Source organism: Homo sapiens, chromosome 7, assembly GCF_000001405.40.
Source record: "Homo sapiens chromosome 7, GRCh38.p14 Primary Assembly".
Lineage (NCBI taxonomy): Eukaryota > Metazoa > Chordata > Mammalia > Primates > Hominidae > Homo > Homo sapiens.
The window spans coordinates 87160450-87182988 of NC_000007.14; the positions used below are offsets into that span (position 1 = coordinate 87160450).

At 35.2% G+C, this 22539-nt stretch overlaps 1 protein-coding gene across 53 annotated transcripts in view; it reads left to right on the plus strand.

The window, feature by feature from the left end:
* Window positions 1-22539, plus strand: part of DMTF1 (cyclin D binding myb like transcription factor 1) — a 43873-nt gene that overhangs the window by 7997 nt on the left and 13337 nt on the right. For 19 of the 53 annotated variants that reach the window (XM_047421106.1, XM_047421100.1, XM_024447017.2 and 16 more), the window contains 10 exons: window positions 2790-2883; window positions 3046-3168; window positions 4485-4601; window positions 6034-6156; window positions 10546-10640; window positions 13086-13200; window positions 14144-14220; window positions 19096-19253; window positions 20860-20892; window positions 21779-21888. In XM_047421106.1, the coding sequence (XP_047277062.1) occupies window positions 4493-4601; window positions 6034-6156; window positions 10546-10640; window positions 13086-13200; window positions 14144-14220; window positions 19096-19253; window positions 20860-20892; window positions 21779-21888 (820 nt within the window). In that variant the 5' untranslated portion in view covers window positions 2790-2883; window positions 3046-3168; window positions 4485-4492. Of the gene's footprint in view, window positions 1-2789; window positions 2884-3045; window positions 3169-4484; window positions 4602-6033; window positions 6157-7507; window positions 7595-10545; window positions 10641-13085; window positions 13201-14143; window positions 14221-19095; window positions 19254-20859; window positions 20893-21567; window positions 21889-22539 lie in introns of those variants that run through there. The other 34 variants (XM_047421102.1, XM_047421123.1, NM_021145.4 and 31 more) reach the window with 7 other exon arrangements.

Sequence of the window (22539 nt, forward strand, 5' to 3'; positions counted from 1 at the left end):
TTTTTAGTAGAGACGGGGTTTCAGCATGTTGGCCAGGCGGGTTTCGAACTCCTGACCTCAGGTGATCTTCCTGCCTCGGCCTCCCAAAGTGCTGGGAGCCACCCAAAATGAGCCACCACACCCGGCCTGTAGTTTCTTTTCTTCCCTACTTCTAATTCTGTACATACTTCAGTAAGGCTTCTGCCTCTACTACTCCCACCAAAACTACTTTTGTTAAAGGCACCAGTTCTCCATATTGCCAGATTACGTAGCTACTTCTCAGTTATCTTTCCCCCCAGCAGTTTTCAACATAGTTAACTACTTAATGCTCATTGAAAAAACACTCTTGTGCTTCTTAGTTAATACCTCTTAGGTTTTCTCCTGCATCTCTCTAGCTGGTCCTTCTCATTCTCCTTTGTTTGACTTCCCAAATTTAGTGGAGTGCTCTAGAACTGTAATCTAGGCTGTCTTCTCTAACCTCTTTAAGAAATCTTTAAAAACAATGTGTATGCCAGTAAGATTTATAGGTCTAATCCTGGCCTGTTGAACTCTAGTTTTATATATTTAACTCTCAGTTTGACATCTTCATTTAGATACCTTATATCTTATATTATTAGTATTAATACTAATATTAATAAAAATAACCTACCTTTTGAATCTTGAACTGTGTGTGTTACCCATTAAAAGTGAAACTAGGTCAGTTTCTTAAATATTAATAAATGTACTGACCACATAGCTCAGACTATAGGGGAAAAAAGGTGAGTCAAGAACATATTTAGGATGACGGGACCAGGCACATTGGCTCACGCCTGTAATCCCAACACTTTGGGAGGCCGAGGCAAGTGGATCACCTGAGGTCAGGAGTTCGAGACCAGCCTGGTCAACATGGTGAAACCCCATCTCTACTAAAAAAATACCAAAAAATTAGCTGGGCATGGTGGCACACGCCTGTAGTCCCAGCTACTCAGGAGGCTGAGGCAGGAGAATCACTTGAACCTGGGAGGCGGAGGTTGCAGTGAGCCAAGATCGTGCCACTGCACTACAGCCTGGGCAACAGAGTGAGACTCCATCTCAAAAACCACAAAAGATGACAGCATAAAAACAAAAAAGGTGACTGTATCCCCAGTACCTGCATATAGTAGAGGTAATATATTTGGATATATTTGTTGATTGAACAAATAAGCTTGATAATTTACAAAGTAGCATAGAATCATTCACTAATCTCTAACATGAGTTGCAGAACTTTAAAAAAGGAGCCAGGATTCCTGTTCTTTTTCTCAACGTTGTGGATTAACTGGGGTCCTGAAATGATATCATTAAAATGTTAAACCTGTGACCATTTTGCACCTATAAAATAAGCATTGTACTTTTTGCTTTGAAGTTTTTAAAAAATAACTATTGGCAAGATTACCAAGAGTACAGTTTGCATCTCAATGGTTGGGATATAAATTTGTGCAATTTTTTGGGAAAATATATTGCAGTATGATTGAAAAGTTCGAAATTTTGTCATATCCTTTGATTTAACAATTTTTATTTACTAATATTCAAGGAAATAGTGTAAAAATATGTTTTTCAGTATGGGTTAAGGAAATTAAAAATTGGGAACAACATAAATGTCCAGTAACGGATAACTGTTAAATAATGTCATGCTTTTTATTGCAGCATAAGTTTTATTTTTTGCTTTTCTATTTTTTGAGACAGGTTCTCGCTCTCACCCAGACTGCGGCCTTGATCTCCTGGGCTGCAGCCATCCTCCCACCTCAGCCTCCAGAGTAGCTGAGATTATAGGCATACACCACCACACCTGGCTAATTTTTTATTTTTTTTCTGGAGACTAGATCTCACTATCTCAGGCTGGTCTCAAACTCCTGAGGTTAAGTGATCCTCCTCCCAAAGTGCTGGGATTATAAGGGTGAGCCACCACGCCTGGTGCAGTGTTAAGTTTTAAGTAATAACTTTTGTTAGATGCCTACCTTGGTTTCCTTCACACTTTTCAATCTGAGCAGATTCTAAAAAGCAGGATATAAAATTGCACAATACACTATAATCACAGACACACATACACCGGGAGATGAGATTAGAAGGAACTACAAAGAGTATGAAAAATCGTTGGGAAGTTTATGGATGATTTTAACCTTCTTTTTTTTACTTTTTTACATTTCTTTCTCCCATCTTTTGTAGTAGGTATTACAAAAAAGCCAGCCTTTAAAAAATTAATGGATTCAGAATGATAACAACATGAAATCTAATAGCTTAATGGTTCTCCAGCAGGATCTGTACCTTTTTCACTGAAAATGCAAAGAGGATCTAATTAGAATGCCGCAAAAATTAGAATTTTAATCCCTAATTTTTGCTGAAACGTCCCCTTGAACCTCAAATCATGTGCTTTTTTTTTTTTTTAAGGTCTTTGGTTGGCTTTTGAGGATAAAGATGAGAAGCTTATTGAAAGAAACCTTTAAAAACCATTTCATATTTCATAAAGTTTCACATTGCTTTCAAGAGCTTGTAATTTGTCTTTTCTGGCCTAATTGTTTAAGGTTTTGTTTTTGTTTTTTCCACAGATTCCTAGATAGGGTTGTTCATCTGTCATCTTAAAAGGGTTTTCTGGATGAATAGGGTACTATATAATTTTTAATGCTTTAAGATAAAACATAAAGAGGTGTTAATAATTATAAAGGAAAACTATAGTTACTAATAATATTTATGGTGCTGTATTGATTGATATACACATCATGTTACATAATGGTACCACAGTCTACAGTTCATAGAATCACTAGCATAGCTGAGCCTGTTTTTTTTTTTTTTTTCAGAGAACGTTTGTCTGCCTGATGAGAGCCACTTGGGTTAAGAAACTACCTGTGAATAGTCATCATTTCTGTCCTTCATTGGGGAATACTTTTAGAGGCCAGTTTCCAAAAATTCTGCTTAAAAAAGAATTCTGGTTTTGTCTTACTCTTCCAGATGAGATATCACAGAGGCTTGGGCCTAGATTGTCATCAGCATACTGCTATACTATTCGTTTGTTCTTATTAAGCCTTATTGTGTGTAATGCTGTTACTTTTTCAGAGTGTTGCGGAGATAGGAACATGGGAGAGAAACAATCTGGGTAACATGAAAGTGATGCTGGTTGCTAAGGGAAGGCAACTTGATTCTGTGGGAAGGGCTGTAGCTGATCCATCCGTTGTCTAGGTAAGTCTGCTTCTGTTGCAAGGATCTCACATGATTTGCAAATTTGTCAAAACTAGATCATGATTTCCATTTACCTTTATTTTGGGAATGGCATAATTACTATTGTAAAATGAATGATGTCCTTTTCAAATAGTAATTTGCATAGTAAAATTTTAATGAATTATTGGATCTTTACCATGTAAATGTTAATATATTTAAGTTTTTGTGCCAAAGGAAAATACATTCACTTCAGTGGTAAATATATGAATGGACTAATATCTTGTGTATAGGAGCCAGAGAGAGCCAGGCGTGTTGGCACGTGCCTGTACCCAGCTATTCGGGTGGCTAAGACAGGAGTATCACTTGAGCTCAGAAGTTCAAGGCTCTAGGACCCTTAAGACTGTGCCTGTGAATAGCCTCTGCACTCCAGCCTGGGCAACAATGAAGACGCCTTCTCTAAAAAAAAAAAAAAAAAAAAAAAAGCTTAATAAACATTGAGTAATTATATCAGGGTTTGTGTCCTCTGTATTATTTAGTTGGTAAAACATACGTGCCAAAAGTGAGTATTGAGGCAAGAACCTCCTTAAACCTTATAAGGTATTTCTGAAGACTTCAACCAGGCTATTGATTATAGTTTCATACCTTTCCCCCCACTAGCCATGAGATGCTATATTCTGAGACTAGTTATTCCATCTGTCTGAACAAGAGGAAAATAATATTTGTGTAAAATAGCAGGTAAGGATACTTTGAACGATGTTCAAAGTTACCTGTTTCAAAAGAAGGACTAACTCGTCTTTTAAAATTACAATTTGGTCAGTGATGGATGTATGCACTTTTTCAATATTTTGAAAACACAGCAAGAATTATTTAGTGTTCCTGTTTTTCAGATAATAGAGCTTAAATACCTGTAAAAAATGTTTTGAAAAAATAATTCTTAAGATAAAAGTTTTGATGAATCTTCTGCTTAAAGAAAAAGAAGTTAAGTACCTACAAAGCTGTCCATAAAAACACAGTAAAAAAGTGGGGAAAGTTTTGCTGATAAGACGGATTCTCTTTTGTTGGATGTTGCAAAAACGTTTTTTAAAGTATTACAAATGTTGTAGGTTTTTAAAATTTATCAGAGCAAACAGATTCTTTGAGATATCTAATTCTAAATAATGGGTATAAATTTGTGAAAGGCAGTTTTTGAAATCTGAACTCTCATTGCAGTTTTACATGAAGAACACTGTAGGCAGATACCCAAATAAATGTGTGTGGTATTTCAGGGGATTATAAGGGAATACTTCATATTTGGGAATAATTTTTGAAATCCTGATCTGGAATCTGTTCTTGTACAGATTTGAGTATGAGCACAGTGGAAGAGGATTCTGACACAGTAACAGTAGAAACTGTGAACTCTGTGACTTTGACTCAGGACACAGAAGGGAATCTCATTCTTCACTGCCCTCAGAATGGTAGGAGAACTTGCTGACATATAATTCTGACTCTCTGAATTTATGAATTCCATGTCACTTTTGACCCCTATTGCCCAAATAGGGGTCTAGGTGCCTATGAGTTTAGGCTGCACAGTAGAAAAGGAGATTATCTCTTTAACATAAATGTTAGTTTTTGTCAATCTTGTTGCTATGTTATAAATAGGATCTGTTGAGCCCCCAAAGGTAATGATGGAATAACTATAATATATACTTCTTTTTTTATACTAATTGGTACCAGCAGCATAGTTAATACATTAGAAAATGTAGAATTATTCCTCAATGCAAGTAGACTTTTTTGTTAGAAACTGTGTTAAAAAATTGTACACAATCATTTCAGTATGACTTAATATGGTGATCTACAATGAATTAAGATTCAATAGCTTTCCAGCTGATAATTTTGTTGTTACTCCCCGACTTGCTCATTATTTATGTCATTTATTTATTGTGCTCTGAAGTTCATCTTTACTCAACCTAGGTTATGTCTTCTCTTCTCACTCTGTATATAATTCATAGGTTATTTAATTCAAAGTTAGGATTTTAAGTAGCACCTACCTATAAAGATGACTCAGAATCTGTCTTTATACAGAATTCTCTGTGCTTCTCATAGGCATCTTAAGTTTCATATGTCCCAAACAATCCTTACATGTACTTCCTAAACCTAGTTCTCTTTTTTCCTTTCTCTGTGAATTTCATTACTTAGTGTCCAGATCATGAATGTGGTTGGGAATAAATTACTTCTCTCATCACCTGCATCATTTCATTTGAAGACTTCTTGATAGTATTATGTTTTTTAAATCCATTGCATCCTCTCTGTTTCAAGCCTGCCTTTGTTAGTTCAGTTTCTCATTTCTCATCTAGGTAGCTCTAATACCCTTTTAACCAGTGTCCTACCTATCATTCGTCTTTCAAGCAGCTGATGAAATTGTTCCTGATACATTTAATAGCATAAAGCTTCCCAAGGTTTTTAGAATATAGTACAGGTTCTTTAATTTGGCCCATAGGCCCCAGTCATTTCTGCTTTCCTCATAGTCTTACCTCCTGCCGCATTTCATATACCTGTGTTCCAGCAGATCACACTATCTTTATTTTCCTAACATACCTATACCTTAAGCTTCTCATACGTCTGTGTCATTGCACATATTGCTTCTACTGCCAAGAGAGATAGCAGTTTTCCCCGGGCTTCCCTTCTCTTTCAAGTTTAAGACACCGCCTTGAGGAGTTGAATACTGCATTGCAGTAGGCATAGAAAGGCAGTGTCCTTTTGAATCCTGTTTGCACAACTAGGTTTAGTTAAATGAGCAAATTGGTAAGAAAATTTTTTTAATAGATAAGAAAATTGTAGAGCCATTGTTAGAGATTTTATTTTCCCTCTTTGGTTTGAAATTTTTGTTTGTTTGTTTTCTTCCATTAGAAGCGGATGAAATAGACTCAGAAGATAGTATTGAACCTCCACATAAAAGGCTTTGTTTGTCCTCTGAGGATGATCAGAGTATTGATGATTCTACTCCTTGCATATCAGTTGTTGCACTTCCACGTAAGTCACTACGTATTAAGAGCCATAGAGTTCCCTTTTAAAATCAAAGTTTAGCTTCCAAGGCTTTCAGTTGGCATTTCTAATAGACTTGGACTTACTGCTTTTTTCTTCATTTAGTCAAACCACCTCTTTTTAGCTAACAATAAATACTATGTGCCAGGCATATCGTTAAATACTTTTATGTATATTGCCTACTTTAATCTTCCCAACCTTTTTTTTTTCAATTGCCCCACAAGGAGCCTTTTTAGACTTTTATTCCTGATTGTGCTTTTCATGAAAATTACAAAATGTCCTCAAAAATAGCTTGTATTTCTTAATGTACTGTCTGTATGTCCTTGCTTTGTTCATAAAGATAATAAAATTGTTTGTCACATGCATTTCCCCCTACCCCAAGAACCATATTTGCCCTCATTGAGAAGAAAGCATGCTTTACAATAGGTACTAATATTGTTATTCCTATTTTATAAGTCAGGAAACTGAGACACAGAAAATTATAATAACTTGGCTAAGAGCATATCTAGGCATTCTGGTTCCTGTAATACATACTCTTAACCCCAATGCCATATTGCCTCTTCAGTATGCTGTATGACAGCATGAAAGTTAGAAGCCTAATTAGTTTATTCTTACCGAGAAAGTTCTTAATGTGTTTCTATTTCAAGATCATTTAGAGTAGACTGGCTTCTATAGGAGGTACAATATTTCAAGTGCAATACTGTTGGCACAAGACAGCATACCAACTGCAACATTAGGTTGTATTTCTGATTTGCTTAGCAAAGAGTGTGGAGTGTTCAGGAAGATTCTGGAGTAGATGCTTTTGTCCATGGCAATGGGGATGCAACACATGGCTGTTGGCACTCTTAGCACAAAGGAGGGTTTTGCCATAGCTGAGAACTTTGATTTTACACTCAGCATCAGGCAAAATCACATCTTCATCTTTTGAAAAAGCAAGACTTGGTTTTCAGCATGGAAAATCATATCTATCATATCTTAACAAGTAGATATGTACTCTGAATTTAGAGTTAATTGCTTGCTAAATTGAACAGAAAAACTTTTAGTTTACTGTAAGACTTAATTGAAAAACAGTGTTAATATTGCTTCCAGTTGTGGCATAGACAAGCATAACATTTCTAATTAAATATTCGTTCCTCCTGATGATTCCTATGTTTTTTTAAAATCTTTCCTAATTTGACTATCATTATGTTGTGATTCAATTCTAAAACTTAATTGGCCTATCTATACAGATGTAATCCTAAATATTTTCTAAGCTAGAATTTTTGAGTGGCTATTTTGATATAAATTGACTTCAACCAATTCATTTTGTTAAAGTGCAATGTCTTGTTCATGATTGTAGGTTCAAACTACACTTGGTATTAGTTTTATTTTATGGTGGTAAACCAAATCCTTCATGGCGCTGTTCACTTAGCTTCAGATAATAGAGGTATGTTGACATGAAAGCACATGAGCTGCTTAATGTTGGGTCATAGCATCATCACATATGGAAGACACACTGAAGCCTTATGTTTAGCAATAAGACTGATAAAGTTTATCTGTCTAGATTGTAAAAATCCTCACAGCATCAGCCTAACTCTCATATTAATCATTCTAACTCACCACTTCTTTTTGTAGTCATCTGCCACTACATTTATCCCATTCCCTATTTATAGTTGTAACTGTATAGTGATTACAGTATTCATCTAGATGATTCTTTCAGTACCTTAGCCTCTTATTCCTTTTGTTCTCCATTTATTACTCCCTTTACCACTCTTACCTATTACTAGAGTCCATTTGTGATCTATTTCAGACTTTCTGTTTTCCTACCGCTACTTCTGTCTTTCCAGCTCACTTCCTGTAGGGCTCTAACTCTGTAGTCTTTTGCCTCACTGGGCCCCATTGATCCTGTTACGTTTTCATTGTTCCTTCTCTACTTGTATCCTTTCTTTCTTTTTTACCCTGTTTTACTTTTATGGTTAATCATTATAATCACTGTCTTGCATTCACCAAGTCCTTTTTTTTCTCTCACTTATTTGGTGAACTCATAACTGTCTAAATCTGTCTTTGTCTGTTTATTTCTGTACCAGTGCAGCTAATTGAAAAGTATTAGAGAAAAATGGCACAAGCAGGCTGACTATTCTCACTCTAATTCCTGATCATTAACCTGAAGTGGGCTCATAATGCTGCCCACCAGTAACAACAGCTCTCTAGTGTTCTTTTTCCCACTCTGAGATGACTGTTTCATTTGTCCCGAAACTTGCAAATACCTTTTCCACCTTTTTACTCTGAGCTGATAACCCTATTCCCTCTTCACAAAGAAAATGGAAGTAACCAGAAAATAATTTCTACAAATTCCCACTACCACAAATACATACCTACCTGCATCTATGTCCATCCATATATTTGTTGTCCTATCTTAGGCCTACCCTTCCATTTACTTAATTTCTTCCCCTTTACCTACTCAAGGACATTGTTCCAATAATTATTTTGTTTCTTCTGTATCACCAGTTTTTCTTCTACTGAGTCATTCCCACAGTATCACAAACATACTGTTATTTTTCCTTAAAATAAAAAGTCCCTGGTCAGGCATGGTGGCTCATGCCTATAATCCCAGCACTTTGCGGGGCAGAGGCGGGCAGTTTGCTTGAGCCCAGGGGTTTGAGACCAGCCTGGGCAACAAGGCAAAACTCTGTCTTTACAACGAATACAAAAATTAGCTGGGTGTGGTGGTGCACGCCTGTAATCTCAGCTGCTAGGGAGGCTGAGGTGGGAGAATTGCTTGAGCCTGGGAGGTTGAGGCTGCAGTAAGCTGTGAGTGTGCCACAGCACTCTGGCCTGGCAACAGAACAAGATCCTGTCAAAAAAATAAATAAAAAGTTCCTTTAGCTCACTTTTGGTTCTTACTCAATTTTCCTCCTTGCCTTTAGAGCAGAATACCTTGAAAATTGCCTATATTTGCCTTCATTTCCTTTCCTCTTTTTCCTTAAACTTACTCCAGTCAAGCTTTCACCCCTTAACTAAACTGTTTTTCCCAGCTCTCCAAAGACCTTCTTGTTGCCAAATTCAATGGTCACTTTTTTAGTGTTTGCGTTACTTGATCTGTTGGCAACTTTTGACAATATTTATTACTCCCTCCTCCCTGAAACGTTTTCACTTGGCCTGTAGAAAACATTCCTCTGGTTTTCTATTTTTCTGTCCATTTCTTCTTAGTCTCCACTGCTGACTTTTCCATGTCACCAGAACCTCTAAATGTGGAGCACCCCAGGACTAAGTCCTTAGACTGCTTCTTTGTTTTCTTTACTCACTTTTTAGGTGATCTCAACTCAAGGTTTTAAATACTATCTGGTGTTAACTACCAGATTTATTCCAGACCAGACTTCTCATTCTCTAAATATTTAGCAGTTGTCTCAAACTAATGTATTTAAAGCAGAGGTTCTGTAACTTCCTGAATCCTTACATTTGCTTCTTTTACAATCTTCTCCTACTAATTAGTAGCAGGTGTATTCTTCCAGTAGTTTTGATTTTTTTTAAAAAAATTTAACGTTATCCTTGGCTCTTCAGTCTCTTCCATCTCTTCTTTGTCTACAAATCATAGTGGCTCTGCCATCCAAAATACATTCACAATTTGAACTACCAGCCACTCTCACTTGCCTTCACCCTAGTCCAAGCCACTGACCTATCTTTTTTGCATTTGCCCTTCAGACTGTTTTTCTTATAGCAGCCAGAGTGAGCCTCTTAAAATAAAAGATTATATTATTCCACTATTCAAAATCTTCCAGTCGTTTCCCACCTAAGAGTTAAAACCAAAACCTTCTGGCTTACAAGGGCTTACACAATCTCCTACTGTTCTTGTTTAGTCTGCTTTAGCTACACTGGCCTCCTTGCTATTCTCGTGAACACTCCAAGCATGCCCTGTCTCAGAGCCTTTGCACTTGGCTCTCCTTGAAATGCTCTTCCTTGAGATACCTGTAAAACTAGCTTCCATCCTCACTTGTTCCAAGTCTTGGTCACTTTTCCTAGCCTCCTATATAAAATTTCAAATACTATCCTCCACCCCAACACATTCCCTTTCCTGTTAGGTTTTTTCTCACTACTAATCACCATCCAACGTAGTATCTTGTCCATTTTGTGTCTTTCCCCACTAGAATACAGGCTCCATGAAGAAAGGATTTTTGTTTCCCTTGCTCACTGCTATATCCCCAGCACCCACAGCAATATCTACTATGAATTAGGTGCACATTAAGTATTATTAAGCAAATGAATGTATGTATGTGAAGATGTATTAACAAGGAGTGTGTTAGGAAATTAGATGATCATGTTTTTTTTCCCATGGATATTTTTAGAATAATTAGAACTTGCCGTTATTATTCTGGAGATGAACGGTTCCTTTTCTTGAAGTTTCAGAAAATGATCAGAGCTTTGAAGTGACCATGACTGCAACCACAGAAGTAGCAGATGATGAGGTTACTGAGGGGACTGTGACACAGATACAGGTATAGTAAATCTTTTAACTGGCCTCAGGAGGATGATCCTTTACACATTGCTTAGCTAATAAAATGATGAGAAACCTCAGCCTCCCAAGTAGCGAGGACTACTGGCACATGCCACTGTGCCCAGGTTTAGCCCTTATTATGAAACAAATTACAAAGTTTTTTTGTTTTGATTACTGCCAAAGAGTTGAGTTATAATTTAATATTTAGCCTCTTGGTTTGTTATCACCATTTTAGTGAACAAAAAACTTTTCATAATAATTTCTAGTATTTGTTTAATAAGATTAACTTTAGACACAAAATGGACAAGATGTGAACTGAAAGTCAGCATAGTTAAAAACCCCCTCAGAAATAGTCTGTTTCTTACTGTGTCTTTGCTGTGAACCAGGTGCAGCTATTTTGACATAGTTTGGTAGTTAATGTACTGTGTCTCCTTCCAGTGATGAGACTAGCTTGAAAAACAATTAGAAACTATTATAAGTCCCTATGTATATAGTACTTTGTGGTTGCAAGAGGTCTTCAGTGGGCTGAATATTTTAATTTCTAAGCCTTATATATACATTATAGGCATGAAATCCTGCAACCAACTCATAAAAGCTTCATTTTAAAAGCAACAGCATACTAAATAAAGCTGAGTCAACTTAATAGATGCATAAAGTAGTGAAAAATGGGGGTAAAATACTCTAAGACTGATTAATATTTATATGTCATACATAGATAGGTACCCTTCAAGGTACCTGAGTTTCCTGCTGTTGTACTCACTAAACTCATTTTATTGACAGTGTTGAATACTACTGCTATTGCTTAAGAATTATTTGCTCATTTGAGGGAAAATTTGAGCCCTAAGGCATTAAATGTTTGCCCCCAAATAGTGGTTAATCAGCATAACAGACTTATTCCTAAGGTTCATGGAATGGGCTCTGCTATATAGACATACTTTGGGAAATGGTGATTTGATTCTCATATCCAACTGATTAAGAGAAGATAATTTAAGAGTATTTTCTACATTATAGTTCTTAAAAGTGAGTATTGTATGTATCAAGGTCTTTTGATAGCTCTCTGTTACACTCTTTACTGATGTATAACTCTAGGATCAAATCTTATAAAAATTGTGATCTTCAGAATATAAGAAGCCTTAGACACATATAGTCTGTCTCAATTCTTAGCTTTATACAGGTCCCTCTTGATTTAAAAAATCAAAAAGTATGACATGTAAATAGAGGGCTATAAAACTTATTCACACTTGTTCCAGTGATTTCCAGCTTTTTGCCCATGGATTCAAAAACGCTTTCATAAACACACTATATGTATTACCACCAGATATAAAAGTAAAGTAATAGGCAACAATAGAAATGTGGCTTTTCTCCTAATTGTACCTTGGTTGTCCACTGACAGCTTACCTCTTTCCAAGAGAGATGAGGACAACTTATCTCTTTCCAAGAGAGATGGGTTTCAATTTCTCTTTATATTAGAAGTTCAGTTTCTGTTTATTCAAGAAGTAGTAGTCCAGTCCTTCTTAGGATTTACCTTCAGCCGGTGACATTGCTTAGTCTTTTTTTAGCCCAGAGACTGAATTGGGTTCAGTGGTCACTAAATACGTGACTCTTCCCTTATTCTGCTTACGATAGGCTAATACCTCATACGGTAGCACTGTTGCCAGGTCTTCCTCATTTACATTACGGTTCTCTTTAGGCCAGGGTCAACTCTGCCGAAGGCAGCTTTTTTCCCCTACAGGGTTTGTTAGATTAGATATGCTTGTAACTGAAAATACAGCTAGTGGTGGTTGCACAGAAGACTTAGCTGCATTAAGAATAAGTAGTACCATATAGTTCTTTGAGAGAAAGGTGCATTAATAAGGCTCTAGAGGTTGGCTAAAGCAAAGTTGTCAGAAAACAATAAGCGGACAGTGATTTTGCAATAATGACTTATGATTGTGCCTGTTAATATTTTAAGTTAAGAGATGACATTATTGATGATTTAGGCAGCAAGCTTATCTCTGAGGGCATTAACAAATCATAACACCCAACCCTAGGACTTCCATTTTCCTATCTAGAACAGATAATAACTGTATATTGTATATTGAGCTCATTTACATGTGTAAATATTTAAATTTCCCTGAATATTCTATGTTGATTTAAATACTTAATGGACTCTTGGCCCATTTTATATAAAACTGAAGCCAATAGTACATTTACTTGCTTAAATGAAGGTCATATTGTGTTAATGCATATAATTTTGTTTTCATACTGCCATAATAAAAACAGCAAGAAATATTTTTTTGTAAATTGGATATATTTTTACTATATCTAAAACAAGTGAATTCCATATGACTATATTTAAGTTTTATAATGCTTAGCATTACAAAGATGAATCCGGTTGAGCATTAAATCAAGCTGCCATTTTTTTGTTTTGTTTTGTTTTGTTTTGTTTTACTTTTACCTTTTCAAGATTTTGCAGAATGAGCAACTAGATGAAATATCTCCCTTGGGTAACGAGGAAGTTTCAGCAGTTAGCCAAGCATGGTTTACAACTAAAGAAGATAAGGATTCTCTGACTAATAAAGGTAAGATAACACTGTGAATTTTAGTGCCTAGTGAAAAAAAATGGAGATAGAAAGGGCTTATAGTCATCAGGATTCTGAGTTGGACCTTCATCACTGGGATTGAGCAGTTAGAGTAATTGAGCTTTTCTAACTGAATTAAATTTGGCCCCAAATGACTTTGAATTAAGGTTATGAAACCACCATTTGTTTTTCAGTAATTAATTATTTCTCCCCTGATTTGAAGTAAATTTTGTCTTGTTAATTTTTGAACAAATGCATAGTGGTGGCATTTAAGACAATATAGTTATTGCTTATGAGAGTAGGAAGTCAAGCCTTTTCAAGGGTCTACTAACTTTGGTCTGATAAGCAGCTTAGAGGCTCAAGGTAACATAGTGTTTACAGTGTTGGCTATGCTCAAGCATAGCTGGGGAAGGTGCTACAAAAAAGTGAGGGTTGTGTCTGTGCCACTCTGAAGTACAGAAAGGAAGCAGAAAAACGTAAATAATTTTCAACCACTGTATAGTAAATACTCATTAAGAATACATTATTCACTTGATATTCAATATTTACCTTGCCCTAGAGTTTTTTGTATGTGTTCTTTTTGCCCATAAAATTTTCACTGGAGAAATTTTTCAAAAAGTTTTGAGCATGTTTGGCTTTTTTTATTTTTATAAGTTTCTTTTTAGCTGTTCTATATTGTTGAAAGGCTAAGAGAGGTAATTTTTTTTAAATCTTTTAATTACCATTGTCTTTTTTTAGTAGGGTCAAATAAATGTATTCTAGCGTAAAAACCAGAAGTTACAAAAGCAAGTTTACCTAGAGACCTTTCAGATTTCAGAGGAATGAGAAATGAAATTAGCTAAATTTTATCCCCAAATATAATTTAATCACAAAGGAAATCTTTGGTGTTTTATTTCTTTCAAGGAGTAACATTTTTTATAACATTACTTGTTTTCTTTTAAAGGACATAAATGGAAGCAGGGGATGTGGTCCAAGGAAGAAATTGATATTTTGATGAACAATATTGAACGCTATCTTAAGGTATCTTATGGCATATTTTTATGTTTCACCAATTTGTTTATTGCCAATTGCAAAAATATCAACACAGAATGTTGTGTGCACTTATTAGGAGCTTTTTACTTATTTTTGTAATGGATTTTCATAATGGCTAACATGTAGCTGAATAATTCTAAAATACATTATTATAGTACAATAATATTTTGAATTCTCAGTTTAAAATAGCTTTACTGCTTTAGTTACCACCCTAAAGTTTAGATAAAATCTTAGTAGCCTCTCAACATTTTAAAGCCTTATCTTTTCAAGAAGCCTATAGAGTTTAATTTATTTTGTTTAAAGCTTAAGGTATGCATCTTTGTTTTGTTTTGTTTTGTTTTTGTTTTTTTTTTTTTTGAGACAGTCTTGCTCTGTTGCCCAGGCTGGAGTACAGTGGCACAGTCTCAGCTCACTGCAACCTCCGTCTCTTGGGCTCCAGCTATATTCTCCTGCCTCAGCCTCCTGAGTAGCTGGGATTACAGGCATGCACCACCACGCCCGGCTAATTTTTATATTTTTAGTAGAGACGGGGTTTCACCATGTTGGCCAGGCTGGCCACAAACTGCTGACCTCAGGTGATCCACCCATCTCGGCCTCCCAAAGTGTTGGTATTACAGGCATGAGCCACCGCACCCGGCTAAGGTATGCATCTTTGAATGAATTTTTGATGTCATAGTAGTCCTTACCTTTTAAAAAAAATCAAAAATTTAGTTTATTTTCTTATTCAGGTTTATTTCTTATTAGCTTAGTACTCTTCATTAAATGTCTTTTGAACACAGTATTTTTAAGGCTTTGGATTGTGTTAAGGCATGGATTGCTTTAACAGTGTTTGCTTTTGAAGTCAGTGATCCATTTGGGCAGACTGGAAACAGGTGAAGAGTGTTAGAAAGCCTGGTATCATGTGAATGATACATGTGAATTCTGTACAAGATTACAGAAAGAAGAGTTTTTAGAGCAGTTATGGAAAATTTTGGTAGAGAAAGGATTTGAGCTGTCTTAAAGGATAGAACTTGGGCTAGAGTAGAACTTGAGGGAACTGCATGAATACATGCCGAAGCAGCAAGAAATCAAAGATCAAAACCAACACACATTAAATTAACCCCTTTACCTTGAACTAAGATAAATAGCCTCTGGAAAACTGGGCTCCGAAGTCCATGCCAAAGAATTTGAACTTTATCCTATAAGAGATGAGAAGCATTAAAGGGTTTAAGAAAAGCTAGTAGTTTAGTTGAGTAAGAAATTGGTGGGGTAAATCTGTATTCTCAAGGAAATCTTTCTAGAGACTTGCTGGCCATCTCTGTAATGGAGTTAGATTCAAATAGTGTTATGTCTAAAATGTAGATCATTAGCATCATTTGGGGAAGGATGGTGTACGGTGTTTAACCATTCTCCTATCGTTTGGTATATTGACTGCTTACTCTTTTCCACTCTACACTAATGTAGAAACGCAGTGCTGCCTAGAAGGCCCACATTTTTAAGTTTAATTTTAACTGCAACTTTCCCAACCTAAGCTCTTTGAAATACAGAATTTTAAAACTCTAATTCTTCACTAATAAATGAGATCCTTCCACCATGTTTGTTGTTTTAAGAGAAACAGAAATACAGTGGCCATTGAAAATGAATCCAGAAGTGTATTTCAGTTGTCCTCTAGTCACATATGCTTTAGTTAAACCTGGAAAATGCTATTAGTTTAGATAAAGCAGTAATCAGTGCTAAGGAACACTGAACTTTGAGAATTAAGCTGGTTTCTTGTCTAGGGGATTGAAGTAGATGATCTCAAGGACCCTTCCAAGTTAGTGATTAATGGGCAGGAGTGTGAGTAGGATTTGAGACCTTTTAGAGGACTGTTTCAGTAGACCAACTGATTGTGGCAAAGGACTTAAACTACAGTGGTAGAAATAGAATTGGTAGGGAAAGGGCAGATAACCAAGTATCTGCAAGGATGCCTGAACTGAATGTTGGGCAAGAAGGAAAAGGAGTTAGAGCAACTTAAGAGTTTTTATTTTAGGTGATTGGGAGAATGATGATCAGATTGGCAGAAATAGGAAATGTCCAAAAGATTATTTTGGAAAAAGATGATTTGTTCAATTTTGGTTTTTGACCATAGCTTTTATTATGTGGTGCTCTTCTAAGACTTCTGTAGAGCTAGTTTTAAACTTCAGAGAATTCGAATTAATTGGGTGTCATATGTTTCATATTTGGGTTAAAGGATAAATGCAAGTAACGTCTATAAGCAAGAAAAAGGGCAAGGAGTGTGGAGGCAGGAGAATCTTTCATCTCACTCTGTGGTCATCCTGCAACACAGTGTGCTTGCATGTAGTAGCTCAGTAAATATTTAGGTTTAATCATTGGCAAAATTGGAATTGCATAAGAAAGAATTTTAGAAACCATTCTAAAATTTAGAAATTTTTTGCTGTGAAGTTTCATACATTCAAAAGTGTATAAAATGCATACACTGTGATTTCACCTGTTTTTGAAATTTATATAAATAGATTCATTCTCTGGATATTCTGTAACTCAGTATTATTTTAATATCCTTACCCATTTATTTAGGTGTATTTCATTGTGCAAATGTGCAAGTTACCCATTTCACAGTTAATGGTCATTTGGGTTCTTTTTAGTTTTTTATTATTCATTTGTACCAATCTAGTGGGTGTTAATTATGGTTTTAATTTATTTCTCTGATAACATTTTGATATGCTTATTGGCTATTTGTGTTTCTTCTTTGAAATTCCTGTTTGTGTCTTTCACCAGTTTTTCTGTGGAGTTAACTTTTGTTTAACTTAGACTTTCTTAATGTATGCTGGGTACTAATGGTTTATTGGTCATTTGTATTACAGATACCTTGTCCCAATTTAGTGGCCTGTCTTTTCCTCCTCTTTAGGTGTCATTTGATGAGAAAAGATTTTTAACTGCAATATCAAATGTATCACCTTTTTTGTTTGTTTGTTTTGCATGCATGCATGCTTGCTTGTTTAAGAAATCATTCCCCGCCTCAAGGGCATGAAGACATTCTCACATTATCTTGTAAAAGTTTTATAATTCTGCATTTCATTGCTGTAGGTGTGAGATATAATTTCAGTTGTATCTCTTTCTGTGTAGATGTCTAATTCCTAATTTACAGTGTCCATTCTGTTCTAAATCAAGCTGCCACAAATTTGTTTCTAGGTTTTCTAACTTGTTTTTAGGTTCTGTTTGTTGATACTTGCACCAGTACAGCGCTGTCTTCAGAAATCCCAATATCTGATGGGGCAAGCCTCTTCATAAATATCTTGGCTGTTCTTGGCCCTTTGCTCTTTTGTTATAAATTTAGAATCAGCTTACAGAGAGTGAAACACTCAAATGGAGTTTTTATTGGATAGCATTGAATTTGTACATCAACTTGGGGGGAATTAATATCTTCACAGTATGTCATCTTCCTGTTTAAGAACATGGTATAACTTCATTTAGTTAGTTCCTCTTCAGTATCAAGTTTTATATTTTCCTCCATAAAGGACATTGATAACTTGCCTAAGTTCTGATGCTCTTAATTTTGACGCTGTGTGGGAGCTTTTTAAAATGTTATGTAAACTGTGTAGAAACGCAAATAACTGCATTTTGATTTTGTATCTAGCAACCTTGCTAAAATTAGTTCTTTTTTAAAGTAACATATTTTTTTCATAGATTTTTGGGTTTCTACATATATATCGCAAGTGATTCATCTTTTCTATTCTTTATAATTTTGGTTTTTTTAAAAATCTGATTATCAGTGAATCCTAATTTGATAAGACATACGAATATTGAATTTTATGAATGTTTTTCCCACATCTGTTGAGATTTTACATTTTTTTCCATAAATTTGCTGATGTGATTAATTACATTAATAATTTCCCTGAAATTAACACAAACTTGTATTCCTGGGATAAACTCACTTTTCTACGTGGACATACTAATGTTTTTATACATTGCTGGGTTCAGTGTGCTAAAATATTATTAGGATAGCTATGTTAGTGAATGCGTTTGACCTGAAAATTCTGTTCTGAAACTGTCCTTCTCTGGTTTCACTATTAAGGTTATGCTAGCCTGATAAAATAAGCAAAGAAATGTACCCACTTTTTTTTTTTTTTAAACTTTTGATAGTTTAAGAACAGGATTGTGTGTCTATTTGGTAGGATTTACCTATAATGTCATCTATGTCATGTGGGCCTAGTGTTTTTATTTTGAGAAGATTATTTAATAACTGATTCGATTTTCTTGATGGTCTGTGCCTATTTGATTTTCTGTCTCTTCCAGAGTCAGTTTTGGTAAGTTGATGTTTGATGTCTTCTAGGAATTGATTCATTTTACCAACATTTAAATTTATTACCATAAAATTGTTCATTTCTGTTAATGGTCTAATCTCTGCAGCGTCTCTATTTAGGCCTCATTTTTCCATTTCTAATACTGTTTGTGTCTTTTTTTAAAATTTTGGCAGAACTTTAATCATTTCAAGTTTTATTAATCTTAATGGATGTTTTCAAAGAACCAATTTCTAGATTAGTTTATCCTTTCTGTGCTTTGATTCTGGATTCCATTGATTTTGCTCTTGTGATTTTCTTCCTTCTGCTTTCTTTAGATCTATTTTTAACTTTTTATAATTTTAAAAGAGTTGATGGAAATTCAATTTATTGAATTTGATAGTTTATTCTTGGAACATTTAAGTGTCACTTTTGTATCTCTTGCATCATCTTAAAAGTTTATATTTGATTTATTAATGAATTAGTGATATATTATTTTTCTAAATGCCGTTGATGACCTTTAACATTAAAACAAATTTTAAAAGCATAGTATATCCATATGCATTTTATCAGAAATCCCTAAATCAAAGAAATGTAACCCATTTAGGCACGCGGAATAAAAGATGCTACAGAAATCATCTTTGAGATGTCAAAAGACGAAAGAAAAGATTTCTACAGGACTATAGCATGGGGTCTGAACCGGCCTTTGTTTGCAGTTTATAGAAGAGTGCTTCGCATGTATGATGACAGAAACCATGTGGGAAAGTATGAGAACTTGTAATGCTGCATGTTTTCATGTAATTAGGGGAAATATTTGAGGAACTGTCCATTTTTTTAAACAATAGAAATATGGTCAAGGTATTAATTGTTGTTAATATTTTTATCCTCCAGGTCCATGTTGTGAATATGGTGAAACCTTATTATTAAAGCCTCTTTTAGAAATTAGGATCTAATTCACTTTATATAGGTTAGATTTAAGACTTGGCTTACTTAATATGTCAAAGTCTGCTTTGTAGTAAAGTAACATAAAAAATACAGTAATGATTAAAGATTTAAGAAGTGTGAAAATAACTTGAAATTTATTGGTAACATTTTTCCTATTTATTTTTAGAATATAGCATTCCTAGGTCAGTGGCCTTTTTTTAAATCCAGAATGGAAAAGAACTACATTTCTGAAAACAATGTATGGATTTCTGTTTTAGATAGCATTTATGGGAAGGCATCATTAAGATTCTTCAAATGCAATGATTATATACTGTTACTGACATATTTTTAATTTCTCTTTGGAAATTTTAGGTGGCAGTAGTATGGCTTATTAGATACTGCCGAGCTAATGTTGGAGCTCTTTCTCTAGCTCTTCAGCAGCCTGCTAATGAAAGTACATTTGAAAGCTGAAGAGGATTAAATTATGTTTTTGTGACAGTGGAAAAAGAGAAAAAATTTTAAATGGAGCATAAATGACTTGTTAGCAATTCATAAACTTTCCATGCATTACAAATGGTTACAAAGTGAGCAGCGTTTCATAATTATTAAATGGACATTTTTAAAAAGAACATTACATAGGCTGTATTGAGTACTTGCCTACTGTAATAAAGAGCAAGAGTATGTCAGATGTCCATACCTGGGTAAAGGAAATGAAGATAATCTTAATTTGTTCAGTGCTTTGAGGGAATTTTCTGTAGATTTTCTTTTTAGCTCTAGTTTACAATGTCACCCATAAGTTTTTTTGGAGTAGTTATGATTTGAGAGTGCCAAAATCTAAGTTTGAAATAAAGGAACTGTTAGACAGCATAGGAGCAAATGTATGTTTTAAATGTTGATTCTTTTTCTAGAGAAAATTATACAATCCTTACCTTTATTATAACTAAAAAATATTTACTGTTTAAAAAAAAATAAAAATAGAAGCATTTATTTTCAACTTTTTTTTTTTTTTTTTTTTTGAGACAGAGTCTGTGTTGCGCAGGCTGGAGTACAGTGGCATGATCTTGGCTCACTGCAACCTCTGCCTCGTGAGTTCAAGCTATTCTCCTGCCTCAGCCACTCTAGTAGCTGGGATTACAGGCGCCTGCCACCAGCTAATTTTTCTGTTTTTGGTAGAGATGGGGTTTTGCCATGTTGGCCAGGCTGGTCTCGAACTCCTTGCCTCAAGTGATCCGCCTGCCTTGGCCTCCCAAAGTGCTGGGATTATAGGCGTGAGCCGCACCCTGCCTATTCTCAACTTTTATTAATCCACTTTAAAATGGGTTACTTTAAAAGTATTATATGCTAAGTGACTTAACATTCAGCTCCCTAAATGAAATTCTGATTTTTATTGAGGTTTTTAGCATTCATTGTTTTAATTGATTTTTTAAAAATTTCTCTGAATTTCTAGATATACACCTGAAGAAATTGAGAAGCTCAAGGAGTAAGTTTTAAAGTTTTTTTCATTAATTCTAATTTTTTATGTCTTACGTCCTTAAAAGTTTTACTTTGAAAATTTCAAGAGGTTTTTGGCAGACTGGTATAATTGAATTGTGCTATTAAGCATGATTGGCCTTAAAAAGATCACATCAAATCCATTACTTGCACAAAATAACCATTCTCATAATGTATAATCTGGTCTCCTGATGCCATTCACCAGATGCTTCCTCAGACCACTAATAGGGGTTCCAGAAAAGATTAAGGGGCCATTTTTGGTAGCCTGAAGACTAAATTTGGGGAATTTATATACCAGGATGAAAACCAGGGTTGTGCTACATGGCTTGGTTTAGAATGGTGACTTGGCAAATGTTTCAGTGAATATCTGGGCTGACTCAACCTTGCAAAGGCTATTGAATCTCAGGAAGTAGAATTTTGCTTTATTGAGTTAGACCTTAAAGTATGGTTTAATGAATTGTATGGATCATGAAAAAATTTGAAGGTAGATTCTGTTTATAATGATAAAGACCTGTGAAACTTTAGATGTCTAAAGAAGAGTTTGTTGGGTATATGCTCAAAAGGGAAAGTCTGGGGCTTGCCTGGGAGATTGTGTCAGTAACCTGAGGGGAAATTGGTCTTTTTTGAACACATATCCAAGTTACTTATTTCTTCTCTGACCCAGGAAAAAGGCAATTGCTGCCTGTTTTTTTTTCACCCACAGACAACTGTGGACCCCAAAAAAAGGCCACACTTTCAAACTTTGGCTCTCAAAGTATTGCTGCCCACAACTTCCAAACCAGTCAAATGGGAAGAAGAAGAATGAAGAATAAATGATGAAATTAAAAGGGAGAAAACAATTGAACCAAATGCTGATTGGCAGACTCTTGTTTTAGGCTCCGGATAAAGCATGGCAATGACTGGGCAACAATAGGGGCGGCGCTAGGAAGAAGTGCATCTTCTGTCAAAGATCGGTGCCGACTGATGAAGGATACTTGCAACACAGGTACTGTGACTACTACTGGTAGCGTTTTCTTGTCACCACTTAAGCCTCCTGCCCCTTAGGATACTGCCTTTTCTTTGCTCTTGGGGAGCGATTTAGATCATTCACCTTAGTTCAGACTTTATTTTCTAGTCTTCCTTTTCCTTGAGCTTATTAGATATATCAAACTAATCTTTTACTTTGTTTTTGTATAAGGTAACATTGTCTTCAGGGACACAACATCACCTTAGTGTCAAGATGATTCAGATCTAACATGTTTCAGTTTTGTAACAATTTCAATACTTCCCCAGTTGAGAAAGTATTTTGAAGACATACATGCAGCAAGTAATTTTAATTTAGGCCCATCTAACTGTTGAATTTACATTAGCAACAGCTAATCAGTGAGTGTTTATGAAAAACTTTAGTCACAGGTAAGTCCCAAATTAGGAAGAAGCTGTGTTCCAAAGATTTGTAAATATTTTGCTTATTTTAAACTCAAAGTATATTTTTCCATAGAAAAAATTTATGATTGGTGTTTCAGTCCCCTGGCAAGACCACAAATGCCTCTTAATGCATGCAGATGTCCTGATCATACTGTTAAACCTAATCTTTGCGACCAACAACGTATTTAGGCTCTGCTATTAACTGTCATTTAACCTTTCTGAGCCTCACTTC